The 15,190-nt window shown below is 43.8% G+C and overlaps 1 protein-coding gene across 5 annotated transcripts in view; it reads right to left on the bottom strand.

Moving 5' to 3' along the window:
- JAZF1 (JAZF zinc finger 1) overlaps positions 1-15,190 on the bottom strand; it is a 350,219-nt gene that overhangs the window by 175,678 nt on the left and 159,351 nt on the right. For 2 of the 5 annotated variants that reach the window (XM_047420025.1, XM_047420027.1), the window contains exon 1: positions 13,075-13,128. The exons of the other annotated variants lie outside the window; for them this stretch is intronic. The gene's annotated coding sequence lies outside the window, so the exon portion shown is untranslated. Of the gene's footprint in view, positions 1-13,074; positions 13,129-15,190 lie in introns of those variants that run through there. 5 annotated transcript variants of the gene reach the window in all.

Raw genomic sequence — 15,190 nt, forward strand, 5'->3', positions numbered from 1 at the left:
GCTACTCAGGAGGCTGAGTCAGGAGAATTACTTAAACCTGGGAAGCGGAGGTCACAGTGAGCCAAGACGGCACCACTGCACTCCAGCCTGGGCAACAGAGCAAGACTGTGTCTCAAAAAAAACAAAAAACAAAAACCCCAAACACCAAAAACTTACCCACTAGGTACCATTATTATTTTAGGTAGTAAGGTCTGAAAGCATTTAGTGCTTGCGTTGTGGGACTACATTTGTGAACAATCAATAGTTCTCAAGTAGCAATAATAACTGATAATAAAGATATTATTACTATCACTGCGTGTCTACTATGGGTCAATACAAAATGAATTGCTTTCTGTGTGCAGTCCTCATGAAAATCCTGTAAGGGAGATATCTCCTGACCCACCCCACTTCCCAGAGGAAAATATAAAGCTCAGAAAAGGCCCAAATCACAGGACCAGGAGATAAAGCCTTAAATCTGGGTTTGTCTGACTTCAAAGTATGTGCTATTTGACCACATTTGCTGCTTCCCCTGAGTAGAAATAACTTGTTTCATAGCATGGAGCCCTGAAACACTGTTCAGTAACAATGCTCTCTAATTAAATTGCCAGGTGGCCTTTCCTTTGTATTTTAACTTTTAAGGTGATTTTATTATATCTCTTCCATAAATGAACATGGATTTTTTATGACAAAATTAAAATAAGCATTATGTAACTATTAGCATAAAACATTTTTGTTCTTGTATGACCCAACATCATCTTACATGGCCCCAGAAGCACATGGAACACTTTCCAGGCACCCCACCTTGCCTAATTCCCACTCTTTAAGTGCTATCCAGCTACTGCAATGGGATGTCAACAGCCCCATAACTTAGGAGCAGGTAAAAGTATGCTATTCCTGATCTTTCCAATAAAGTTTATGTTTTTGATTGCCCACGTCTGACTCTAGGCATAGAATTATTTCTGGACCCAAATATTTCTCATGCCCAGTACTTCGGGAGGCCGAGGTGGGCAGATCACCTGAGGTTAGGAGTTCGAGACCAGTCTGGCCAACATGATGAAACCCCATCTCTACTGAAAATAAAAAAAATTAGCCGGGTGTGGTGAGGTGGGAGGATCACCTGAGGTAGGGAGTTCGAGATCAATCCGACCAACATGGTGAAACCCTGTCTCTACTAAAAATACAAAAATTAGCCAGGTGTGGTGGTGTGTGCCTGTAATCCCAGCTACTGGGGAGGCTGAGGCAGGAGAATCACTGGAACCCGGGAGGCGGAGGTTGCAGTGAGCCGAGATCATGCCGCTGCACTCCAGCCTGGGCAACAGAGTGAGACTCCATCTCAAAAAAAAAAAAAATTATTTCTGGACACTAAGGTTGCTCTTGGGGCTGGCAGGCAACTCTCTGAATTAAGTGGTTGGTTTTGGCCTCATTGCCATGGTGGCAGGAATCAATACAAATTGACCAGGTGACCAGCTGGATGGGAAAGCATACAGGTCTGAGACATGCCTCTTTCCCTTTTTTAAAAAGACTTAAAAATTAGACTTTTTAAAAGAGCAGTTTTAGGTTCACAGCAAAATGGAGAGGAAGGTACAGAGATATCCCATATACTTTTGCTCCCACCCCATGCATGGCCTCTCCCATTACTAGCATTCCCCACTAGAGTTCTTTTTTTTCCTCGCTAAAAAGTGCTTCATAGAATGCTGGAATGCTTTGGAAGCACTGGGATGAAATATTTAGACAAATTCTGATGGAAATCAGAACCCACGACAGAAGCTGCAACACTGTTACTGCACCTGCATCTTTTATTAAATTTCTCCTTTGGGTGACTGATCTTAAAAAACACCAGAGGTTCTAGTCCAGGTTCTAACTATTTCTAGCTTAGAGCTTTCATCAAGTCAGTTTCTTTACCTGTGAAAAGATAATGATATATGCACCAACTCCCTCACAAGCTTTAAGTGAGAATCATACATTTTAATTATTTATTTTTAAAATTAATTATTATTATTTTTTTTAGAGATAGTGTCTGTTGCCCCGGCTGCAGTACAGTGGCACAAACATGGCTCACTGCAACGTCAATCTCCTGGCTTAAGAGATCCTCCCACCTCAGCTTCCTGAGTGGCTGGGACTACAGGCGTGCACCACTATGCTCAGTGAATTAAAAAAAGAATCCTCCCACCTTGGCCTCCCAAAGTTCTGGGATTATAGGTGTGAGCCACTGTGTGAATCATACATTTTAATTGAGCAATTCCAGTATAAATTCTAAGGTCCTACCCCAGCTTCCAAGACAAGGTGGTCTGAGAGTCATTGTCTCTCCAGCAGGAATAACCCAGTGCAGCCACATCTTAACTCATTAGTCTCTCTGGCAAATAATCTCTGGGAAGAGAAGGCTTAAACTATACACTAAAACAGAAACCTGAATTATTTGCATAAAGAACTTAGATTTCATTTTACTTTGCTATCCTTGGAACTTGAGTGCACACATGCACTCAGATTATGATTTTTCTCTTGCAAGAGTAGGGACTTGCATCAGAAAAGTTCTTCAAAAGTTTTTCCAAAGAGCCATATGACTTTTCAGTAGAGATAGAAAACCTTTTGGCTAGCTTTAAGCTGAGTTTATTAAAAGCCATTCTGATTCACTACAAACTGTGTGATCAACTAACTTGTTTTATACATAAAGGAAAGCCTTTCAATTTATAAAACCAAGATACATTTAAATGATTTTATCACACATTCAAGTCAAATGCAAAACTTTCTATCATGGTTAAGTAAAACAGACATTATCAAGGTAATCACAAGACATCAGATTCCTCAGAGAAGCTCGGGAGACCTCTGGGATTTGGTAAACCTTACTATCAGCTGAGTTTCCACAAATGGAAGGCAGAGACTCTGATGGATTTTCTAGGCTTACTTAAGATGAGGTTTAATGCTCTAGACATGGATTCAATATAATAAAGATACTGCGTCTTCATTTCTATGGCTTGGTTTTAAAAGGAATGCAGAGATAACATACTTTCAAAAAAAAAAAAGGTAGTTGCTGAGTATCTACAACTACTCTGCCTGTCAATCTCTCCTCCCTTCAGCCCACACCTTCCTACTTTAGCCAATCAGTTCAGTGTTTTTACAGTATTTTTGATGCAACTCACAGTAAGACATACATTTTAAATCATAACCAGTACACCCCTCCAGACACAAACATACGAAAGTTTCACAAAACATTACTAAACTTCACCATATGTGATGTACCCTGATAATACCATTGCTTTTTTTTTTTTTTGAGACAGAGTCTCGCTCTGTCGCCCAGGCTGGAGTGCAGTGGCACGATCTCGGCTCACTGCAACCTCCGCCTCCCAGGTTCAAGCAATTCTCCTGCCTCAGCCTCCCGAGTAGGTGGGACTACAGGCGCATGTCACCACGCCCAGCTAAGTTTTTGTATTTTTAGTAGAGACGGGGTTTCACCGTGTTAGCCAGGCTGGTCTCGATCTCCTGACCTCGTGATCTGCCTGCCTCAGCCTCCCAAAGTGCTGGGATCACAGGCGTGAGCCACCACACCCACACCCGGTCACCATTGCGTTTTTTAAAAATGTTATGACAACCCATTAAATTGATGTTGTCACTGACTAATGAGTCCTAAATGGTGACTTCAAAAAAATTCAAATCTTGCTGAATTACAAATCAATAATGTCATGTGTTAAGTCCACTCCCACACATGGCTCTTTATTGCTTACATGATAAGAGATTTAGGTAAAACATAGAAGATCATTTGCAATTTGGCTTCATCAATCAAATTATTCAAACTCATCTCTAGTTCTCTACATGCCCCCTACACTCCAGCAACTCCTAACTTCTTCCCGTCCTCTGCACATACCTCATCTACACTCTATACCTTTGGTTCTGATTATCCTGTTTGCCTTTCTGTGTCCTGTTCCCTGTGCCAAGCACTGTTTTACACAGTCTCTCTTGCCTTTGGTTAGGTTCAGAGAAAATCAGGGGGTGAAAGGAGAGGGTGGTCCAGTATTTGTTCTCCTACTCCCTCCTAGCTAGGCATGGTTTTGGAAGCAGCTGCTATGCTCCACCTAGGGCCACAGCTCTGGGAGGGCGGTCGTCCCCCTTGCAAGGCTGCCACTCTCCAGGTTCTGTTCACAGCATCACCTCCCCTTCCCCTTCAGCCTTCTGCTGTTCCTAGGTCCCGGGTGCCTCAACATCTCTTACCCTGCCACACCCCTATAAATAGCCCCCATATTTAATTCTCTTCTATTCTTTGGGGGCCTAGAATGATATGCCTTTGTAACACATGCTACCCAGAACACCTCGTCCTCACCTGCTTTTCTGTGGTCATCCTCAAACCCATCATCCAAAGTCCACTATAAAAGTCACCTCCTCTACAAAACATTCCATGAAGCTACATGGTAGAATCTGCCTTAATAGTCAGGTATATTAAAAAGATAGATTACATTTTAAAGTGCTTTGTTCCCAACAGACTCAGCTTCTCCAAAAGCCAGCAACTTGTTTCTTTCCTGTCCCTAGCATTTAGCACAAGGGCTGGTAAATAATCATGATCACTGAAAGAATAAATGAATGAAAGGTAAGAGGATTCTCAATTATTAAACGACATCACAACTGCATGCCAGTAGGTCGTATTTTCTAACAAGAGTGTCTACAGAGCTTTGTCTGAATTCCCATTCTGGGGTGATCTAGTCAATTTTCTCTACATGTAGCTGCTGGGATCCAGCTAGAGACAACTGCTGCTTACTGTGTGGTGAACCCAGTATCTCTGGTGGTAACTAGCGGGCTCCTCACAATCCCACATCACCTGGCAGGGTGTTTCTGCTTACGATGCTAATGAGATTTTACTTGAAAGATGTAATTATTGCCGCAACCCAAGAAAATAATTAATGGCCAATTTTAGCGGGCAAAATATTCATTAATCAAGTCAACAGACAAGAGACCTGCAGCGTTTAGGAAAAAGGTCCTTAGAGAGAAGGAAAAAAAGATAATCACCTAGAGATTTCTCCTTTTCATAAGTATAGGTTAAATCTATTCAATTATAGTCTCTTGAAAGTTTACATTTCAGATTTAGTCCAATGACTTCTAATGAAGTCTAGGTTTAAACTTTTGAGTTTTAGAATGCATTGCACAACTGTTATTTAATCATTATACTGCACAAAAAGGTAGTGATAACAAGGAGACATTAATCTCATATTTGGTTGGTTTAAAACACTTCACGCAAGGACTTCTGAACATGACAAACGTCAGCTTCTGTTTTCTTATATTACAAGTGAGGAGGAAGAAAGGTGTCATGATGAGAACACCATTGGGCTTGGTAAACATTTACGTCATCTTTGACCCTTATAAACACACGGCTTTTTAACTGAGGGTGAGAGGACATTTTAAATTCTTCTAACACCTTGGTAATCAGAGCGCAGGGAAATATCTGCCCAAAAAACAACATAGTGACCCAGAGATCAAATCAAACCTACACCTACTATTAAAAGATACTTCAATCCCAAAGAGCATGGGCCCTCATAAAAAATGATAAACAAACCCCTCCAGCCTCTCTCTCCAGCCCTTCTTCTCAACGCCCTTTTATAATATTCATGTCCTCAGATTTATGTCGACCATATATTGCCTAGATGTGTCTCCCCATTCCATTAAAAGGGACTTAAGGGATGGGAGATGGGTCACAGAAGGCAGCAAACAATAACTGACAGTTGAGTTTATTTTTTAAAACCAAAAAAACTTCCATGTTTTCATTTAACTTTAAATGCTAACAACCATATTCCAGGCTCGACATGCCCGTAAAGCTGTTTCACAGTCCAGGGAAAAAATTTTTTTATTGTAAATAATGTTCACCATCCACATCTTAACAGTCTGGATGCTGAAGCATTTTTCATTTAGAGTAATGATCTCCAGGAGTAAAAATAATATAATTATAACTGAACTACTTGGTCAGCTAAATCACAACCAGAAATGCACTGGTATGTATTTCATTCACCGTGTCAAAAAATCTTCATTCTGAACCATCAACACAGCACTAAATTTTGATCTGTCATTGAAAACAGGTCGCTTCTATTTCTGGCTTACAGCATGGTAACAGGGCACAGCAATTGGCAAAGACAGCTAATATTTCACATTAAATCTCCCTACCTGACCTTCTGAATCAAAAATGGAGGGACTCATGAAGAAGAAATTAAGTAAACACTCTTTTTTTCTTTAAAAAACAAAACCAAAAAACCCCTCTTAAAGGATAGAAAAGAAACGACTGAAATTCTTGGGATACAAATTTGTTGTTGATAGGTCAGCCAATTAAGGCCACTGAAGGGTGTGGGCTGCACCCCTGGGCTGCCTCCTCTTAAAGACAGATAGGAGGGAAGAGGGAGTTTCTTGGTGTCCAGGTGGTCCTTAAGACAAAGCCAGAACTGGCATTTCCAGTGGAGGGAGGACTACAAGGTCAAAGGGTATGTCAGCCACTTTGGGTGTGGCCTCAGCTGGCCCTTTGCAACCCACCACTACTGAGGGTTGAGATGTGGACAGAGGTTGATGGACATGCATTGCAGAAGGAAGCAACATCTCTTGAGACTCTTCTCCTCCATGAGTCATTTTAAAGTCACTTGTGGATCTGTATTTAAACCACGTTTTTTATCTTTCTTTTAGTTTACCTTTAAATACAATTTGAAGAAAGTTTTGCAGATACTTCTCCCTCCTTTTTCCCACCACAACCTAAGCCTGGGTAAAGTGACCCTCCCATCTGCTCCTTTTAGTTGCCCCATCTTCACACTTACCCCATGGTTTGAAACCTCCTGATGGGCATTCTCTCCCACTAGCTCCATGTTTCTCAGCCTGGGTAGGTTTATCAAGTAGCGGCTCCTTGCTATAGCCCCAGTGATTCCAGTTTAATTTGATCTGGCATGAAACACCCACTGAGACACCTGAGTGCACCCCCGGTGACTCTCATGTGCAGTCAGGGCTGAGAACCACTGCTGTGCTAAGCTCCCTGGGGACAAGCCCCAGGGCTGTTCACCTTTGAACCAGACCTAGCACAGGGCCTGCTTGCTAAATAGGAACCAGACCTAGCATAGGGCCTGCTTGCTAAATACTAATGGAATACATAAAAGAATGTTGTTCAGTGATTAAAGAAGACAGTGGGAGGAAAAAATAGGAGGGCCATTCAGGATGGCCTCTCAAACTTGAGTGTGCATCAGAATCACCTGGAGGCCTGTTACAGCTCAGGATAGCGGGGGTTGGGGGGGTAGGGCAGGCATCCCCAGTGCTCCTGATTTAGTAGCTATAGGGTGGGCCCTGAGAATTTCCATTTTTTACAAGCTCCCAGGTGACGATGATGCTGCTGACTGATCTCAGAACCACGCTTCTAGAACCACGGCACTGAAATGACCAAAGCAGTTTAGTAATCTTAGATTAGATGACACATAGTAACGGGCTGCAGGATCTGATGAGGTGGTCAAGGATAGTAATTCTATGAGGGACATCACAAGGAGGGGTCCACAGGTCTTTAATCCTATCTGATTGCTGGCCACAGAGAGACCAGGGCTGAGGAAATCTCCCTTTTAGACTGTGATTCCAATTCACTCAGCTACCTTTAATCTTCATGGCTTAAGTATATGAATTATCCATCACATGTCCACTACTATTCAGAATTAGGGTGTGGCTGGCAAGAAGAACAGACTGCCATCAATATCTAAATAAAAATTACAGTAACACTTTCTTAGAAATAGGCCCAAGAAAAAATTTTCCAAAAGCAACCAGTGGCAGAACTAGGCCAGAAAACAAACCCATGGCTGCTAGTTAAATCAACTGAGGCAGTGGATTCTACAGCTGTAAAAATACAGTGGTTTAAAATCCAAGCTTCCAACAGCCATCCAAATAGATGCTAAAATTACATGGTGGGGGTGGGGGTGGGGAATGCATGCTCTCTTTACTGCCAGTTAAGAGATTTCTTTCTTAACAGATAAAGGAAAGGAATAGGAAAATGCCAATTGCATTTGGTTTTCCTAAGAGAGCACTGGCTACTGGTTCCCAGTAACCCTCCCATCACCCAAGCCATTGAACAGTGACACAAATGGCATTGTGACAGTAACACAAGCAGGGGTTCTCTCTCCATTTCTGATGAACCATCTTATGGGTTGATATGGTTTGGCTGTGTCCCCACCCAAATCTCATCTTGAATTCCCATGTGTTGTGGGACGGACCTGGTGGGAGGTAATTGAATCATGGGGGCAAGTCTTTCCCATGCTGTTGTTGTGACAGTGAATAAGTCTCAAAAGATCTGATAGTTTTAAAAAGGGGAGTTTCCCTGCACAAGCTCTCTCTCTTTGCCTGCTGCCATCCATGTAAGACATGACTTGCTCCTCCTTGCCTTCCACCATGATTGTGAGACTTCCCCAGTCACGTGAAACTGTAAGTTCATTAAACCTCTTTCTTTGGTAAATTGCCCAGTCTTCGGTATGTCTTTAACAGCAGCACGGAAACAGACTAGTATATAGGTCCTAGACAGCAGTAATAAACCTGGGTGTTAGAGAACGGAATGTCTCTCTACTCTGGGGTTGTGAGACAGTCTTCAAGGAGTTTCTAGAACAGAAGTAAACAGGAAACTATGTTCTCTGAAAACACAGTCTGTTATTGGGAAGGGAGTGGCATAAAGATGGTGGGCTCACCCACTCAACAAGGATCAACCCTTACATTTGCAGAGAGCAGTGGTTTAAAGTGCGGTCCTGGAGCAGCAGCCCCCAGGATCCTGCCAAATTCTCAGCTCCTGCCACTCCTCAGACCCAGCAAAAGCAGAAAGTGTGTATGTGTGTGTGTGTGTGTGTGTGTGTGTGTGTGTAGGGGTAGGGGGCAGTGCAACCTACATTTTAACAAGTCCCATGCTAAAAATTCTGACGCAGCTCAAGTTTGAGAGCTACTGACAGAGCTTCAGAGTCCTCGAAGCACCTCGGCATAGCTTTTCTTGGGCAAGTCCAACAACCACGTGGGAAAGATGGTATCATTCCATTTTAAACATTAGGGAACTGAACTGAGACAACCAAGATAAGCTTAAGGAGGCATAGTGGCTAAATGTTAATACAGGATCCTGGAACAGAAAAATGACATTAGGGGAAAACGAAGAAATCTGAATAAAGAATAGCTGACAATGCATCAATTTGGTTCATTAATTGTAACAAATAGACTACACTAATGTAAGACATTAATAATAGGGAAAACTCGGCATGGGAATATATAAGAACTGTACTATCTTTGTGATTTTTTCTAAAATAAAAAGTTTGTTTAAAACAATTAGGGAACAGATGCTCTGAGATACATGTTAAAGCAAGATGCTAAATACACAATGGGTGCCTATGGCATTATTTTCTGTATGTTTAAAATATTTATGAAATATTTTATAATAAATTATACAATACTTTGAAACTGTAAAAACTATACATACTCAGACACTGTTTTGTCTTTTCTCCGGAAAAGGACTGGCATGTGTTTAGATAAGGATACTGTGCTTACAGCAGGCCTGAAACACACCCTCGTCCCAGCAGAGGCTGTGGATCCTTTTTGTGCAAGCCCTCTTTGTATTGTCAGCTCTGGCACCATGAAGGGGACCTGCCCATGCTCAGGATCGTCCCTGAAAAATAACTGCTGTGATGGAGATGCTCTAGGTCCCCCCTGCTCCCCAGGCTCCAGGTCCCTGCCTCTCCCCTCACACCCACCACAGGCCCGGGCATCTCATCATGCTTATAACCCCACAGGGCCCTCATCTCAGCTAGGCCTCCTCTAACAGTAGCTGCTCCTCTTCCAGACAGTGACGGCATTTTAATGAGGGCACTATAGAGCCTCTGAGCCCCGCAGGAGTGAACTGCATGCTGAAAGCTGCCGGTGCCTTCAGACCAAGCCAGTTGGCCATTTCCCTCTGCCTTTCTTTGCTGCAGACTGGACTGCCCTTGGTCAGAGGTAAAACCCATGCCCCTCGCCCCAGTGGCTTCTGATGGAGCAATGCCTCTGAGGTCAGCCTGGAGCTCTTGATGATGCATCAAGTCACTTACTTACCTCTTTCTTTTCCAACCTCTGAAGGAGTTAAAAACAGGTGGTGAAACCGACAGAATGGGGATTCAGAGGAAAGAGAGCTAAGAGGCCTGAACAACCCATAAACTGAATTTTAATCCCTAGAATAGTGGGACATTCACGGCTGCCCACATGTTTCTGAGGCTGGCTATTTTCACTCTGCTGTTTTAATGCCAACACCAAGGAATGTGTGTGGCAGCCAGCCTTCCCCTGACACCTTTGCCTTGGGTCTCACCCAGACCAAATGAGTGAGGATGAAGGGACAGGGGCCAAGGGGGCATTGTTTGTGAGTTCAAGAAACAACACTGAAAGCTTACTGGTTTGTTTTCTAGACCAAATACATCACCCTCATGTACCTGCTGGCTCCCCCTGCCCTTACTCATGCCATTATGTCATTTTTGACTGCTCTCCCTCCACTCCTCAGTGGAGTCAAACACAATCCCTCCCTAAAGAGCCTGTTGAAGTCCAAAAGGCAGCCCAGGGGATCGTTCTCTGCTTTCTTTTGTATCATTCATTCTTTCATTCAACCAATATTTATCGAAGACCTACTATGTGCCAGGTACTGTTCTAGGCACTAGAAATATGGCAGTGAATGACAAAAAAAGAGGATTTACATTCTGGGAAGGACAAGGGTCAATAAGGACATCACTAAGTATACATTGTTATGTGTACTATGTCAGATGGTAACTTCCAGGAAGAGAAACAGAACAGGGGAAGGGATGAAAGTGACAGCCATCCTACTCTCTTCACTGGCACTTAGGTTAAATATGCCATTATCTGGCCGGGCCCAATGGCTCACACCTATAATTCCAGCACTTTGGGAGGCTGAGGCAGGTGGATCACCCAAGGTCAGGAGTTCGAGACCAGCCTGACCAATACGGTGAAACCCCATCTCTACTAAACATACAAAAATTAGCCAGGCATGGTGGTGGGTGCCTGTAATCCCAACTACTCAGGAGGCTAAGGCAGGAGAATTGCTTGAACCTGGGAGGCAGAGGTTACAGTGAGCTGAGATCACACCACTGTACTCCAGCCTAGGCGACAGTGAGACTCTGTTTCAGAAAAAAAAAAAAAAAAAAGCCATTATTTAACTTAGTTAATGTTTTGTTTCCTCTTCAGCTAGATCCTCTATGTTCTCAAACAATAAGGGCTGTTTTCGGCTTCTTCCAGCATAGGATTGTACATACTGTCGCCGTTCAACCAATTCTGTTGAACAAAAAAACTTATACAGCTGATTCATATTTTAGAAACACAGACCTTCTGGGTGCAAAGGGAAGTCAGGAGATGAATTAATCCATGTGGAACTGCAGGCAGTGAGTCATCCATTCCACATCTATTTTCCAGCAGCCATGTCCTAGGCACATGAGTGCAGCACTGGCCAGATACTTGTGGGCTCACCAGTGAAATCCTGCCCTCGTGATGTGTACATTTTGGTGAAAAAGACCAGCAAATGATAAGTGATTACTTCTTTGTTTTTGTTGTTGTTGTTTGTTTGTTTGTTTGAGACAGAGTCTCGTTCTGTTGCCCAGGCTGGAGTGCAGTGGCACGATCTCGGTTCACTGCAACCTCCACCTCCGGGGTTCAAGCGATTCTTGTGTCTCAGCCTTCCAGGTAGCTGGGATTACAGGTGCCTGCCACCACGTCTGGCTAATTTTTTGTAATTTTAGTAGAGACAGGGTTTCACCATGTTGGTCAGTCTGGTCTCGAACTGATCTCGGGTGATCCGCCCACCTCAGCCTCCCAAAGTGGATAAGCAATTACCTCTATGAAGGAAACGGGCAGGGAGATGAAAAGGAGAAAAGCAACACGGAGGATAGGAAAAGCCTTTCCATGGAGATGATGTTCCAGCCAAGACAGGAAGGGGTAGAACGAGCCAGCGAGGCCAAGGGCAGGATGGGGGTGGGCAAGGATACTGAGAAACAGCTCCTGGAGGAGGAGTCGGCCAGGGCACAGGCCTGGAGGCGGAAATGTGCTGGGTGCATGGTCACAGAATCCAGTTAGTGTGGGGATGAGGCTGGGGAAGGCAGGAGCCAGCTTTCACAGGCCCTTGTGGGCCACCGTTGGGAGTGTGGGTTTCATTCTAGTGCAATGGAAAGACACAGGACAGTCTTAGCAGGAGAGAACACAAGATTTCTATTTTAAGAGGATCCCTCTGAAAAGACGGCCCCAGAATCACGGTGACTACATGTCACACTTTGCCAGGGACAGTGCCACTTTATACCCGTTGTCCTAGCATCATTATTAACAGCACCCCATTTCACTCTCCAAAGTGTTGCAGATTAAGGGAAAAATTATACAGTCATCCTATCCAGAACCCATTATTACAACTAACATGATTCACTGTTCTGAGAAACCTGATATGCTCTGTACCAGTCACATCCCCCCAAATACAGCAGAGGCTGAATACAACATATTCTATGGTGGGAAATTAAGCCTGTCCTCCAGCATCGCAATTATAAAAAGGTTCTACTGTGTTCTGGTGGTTTTTTTGAAAGACAGGAAGAAGAGAAAATTCTATAAACTTCGCTCCATGATGTATTCCACATTTTACAGCTGCTGCGAGGGGAAAACTTTTCCACAGATGAAATCTAAAATTTTCGTGGTTCAGTTGGAGTCTGTCCTCACTTGATATGGACAAAAAGGGCCAGTCATTGCTGTCTGTGCAGAGATCCTGAGAGTCCTGTTCTTGAAGAAGCCTGCCAAAGTCACCTCTGAGCAGCTCCAGGTTACATAAGCCCTGTTTCTCTAACCTCTCCTCTCAGGTCTTATTTTTCAAATGTTCAGTCATCCTTGTGGCTCCTCTGTTTATCCTTGCCAAGTTCTTCACACTGACACAGTACTTCTAAAGTTATACTCCAGAAGCCCTCTGCTATTTTCCCTACCAAATCTTTCCAGAAGCAAAGCCATTCTCCTCTGCATCTAAGCCATGGGCCAGGACACTGGAACCGGCGCTGACAAGCCACACTGTACCTCCTGCCTTGCTTCCACCTGTCCTCCTTGGACCAGACCACCTAAAGAGAGGATTAAGCATAATCTTACCGTGTCTGGGGGACAAAGGCACGTAGGGTGGCAACCTCTGCCGGCTTGGATTATGCCCCTTCTCATATTCCACCTTAGAATCTCAGAATGTTGGGGTAAACGCGACCTTAGCAACACTCTTTTCATTTGGTAGATTTATTGAAGGCAGATCCTACAAATTGCTCATAGATGGGACAGAACTCACCCTGGACCGTGGCCCTTCCCCTCTGCTTTGCTGCCCCTCCAACCACTTCATGGAAATGTTACCATCCTCTGATTGATTTATACTGAGCTGAATTTACATGTCTTTTCCTACCCCCCTCCTTGACTTTATTTAGCTTCTTGAGGGCAAATAATATATTTAATAGGTCTCTGTATTATTCACAACATGGCATCTTCCATGTAGCCAGGTCTCTGGGGAGATATTTGCTGAAACTCCTGAATGGATTCTTAAGACTCCTCCTTGCTTTATGATAGAGACAAGAGTAACACTCCCAGGCTTTTGGGGGTCACAGGCTCTGCGACAAACAGACCGGACTCCAAATCCAGGCTATGCCACTAGTTTCCAGGCTATGCCACTAGTTTACCAGCTAGTAGTTAACTAGTTGTAGGAAAGGTATTATAATTCATCTTTCTTCATCAGAATAATGGGTGCAATATACCTACCTCTTTCTGAGGGCTACAAAAGCCTACCTATGTTGCACAGAAATGCCTCAACAGACACATGTTCTGCCCTGAACACCACTTCTCCCTCTTTTGCTTGCTCTGCTCAGCTATTTTCCCTATAGGTTAAGCTTTTACCAAAAAAGAAAAAACATCCTAATAGTGCTGTTCTTACCAGAGATACCATTTTTTCCTCATGCTGAAACCCTCCTTAGATAAGAGATAAAACTATGCTGTAACTTATATCCTTTTGCAAATTTTTAAAGTAGAGTGCTGCGATAACACCAAAATGGGGGAATTCCTAAGGTGACTTGGGACATAAGTAGGAGTGAGGAAAGTATTTAAGCTTAGAGAGAAAAGCGAAGAGAAGCCTTCTGATGAGGTGTGAGCCCATGGAAAACGGCACAGGGAAAATGAATCGGAAATGCAGCCTGTGGGGTAACACTGCTGCAGAAGGAAACAAACGAGGAGAGCCAGCGCCTCCACGGTGCCTTCTCCTCCTGGAAGCAGGAGTTGAAGCCTATGACCCCTAGGACTGATCCCATACTGACATCTTGTGGTTACAAGTGTCATGACACTTACGTTGTCCTACGGCAGGCATGGACATGCATATTCGTACAACAACCATGTCTTCATTTCTCAGCATTTCAAAAGCATCAAACGTTTTCTCAACCCCAAGCTCCCTGTTCTCAGTAGAGGTAGAAGTGAGCGAAGGAACTGCTGATGAATGTGACACTGGCATTTGTCCCTCCCAACTGCATCCATGCTAGTGGCTGAAGCCTCTGCAGCCTTGGCTGAGCATCTCTTCTCCAGCACCCAAGGCTTCTTTAGGAGAATTACCAAAACTCACTGGTTGTTTTAAAAGTGAAATGAAAACTGCAGCTGCTCAGAGCTTTCAAATACCAACCGAACCACTCCCTCATGAAGTCTAAGGGAGGAAGTCAGGAAATAGAAAAGTAACCTGGTTCTTTGGAATTTCAAAATTAAATTTCTTTTCACAACCATACCCCGGAGCTACTCAGTAATGGAGGTGCTCCAGAAACCCTCCATCTTGCAGAATCCCAGATGGTCCTGAGTGCCTGCTGCATTCAAAGCACCTGGGGGATACTAGTGCACCTCAGAGGGCCCACGGTCCAACAAGGGATGGGCAGGACCCCATCACGGTGAAGTAAAGGAAGATTGGCAAGCGGCGGACACGGGCCGAGAGAGTTCTTGCAGGAGACATCAGGAAAGACTCCCATGGGAGAGCAGCATTTTTTCTTTTAGGATGAGCAGTGTGGGGCAAATAAAGTTGTGCATGAAGGCATTTATAGCAGGTGGTTAGAGTCACAGGCCTTAGGAATCAGACAAAACAGGATTTACGCCCAGGCCCATCACTTCCTAACTGTCCATCTGAACATGATCTGTGAGCTCTCAAAACCTTGTTTTCTTCCTCTGAAAAGCAGGGATGAAAATTCTGACTTAATGATGGAGT

This window comes from Homo sapiens, chromosome 7 (assembly GCF_000001405.40).
Source record: "Homo sapiens chromosome 7, GRCh38.p14 Primary Assembly".
Classification (NCBI taxonomy): domain Eukaryota; kingdom Metazoa; phylum Chordata; class Mammalia; order Primates; family Hominidae; genus Homo; species Homo sapiens.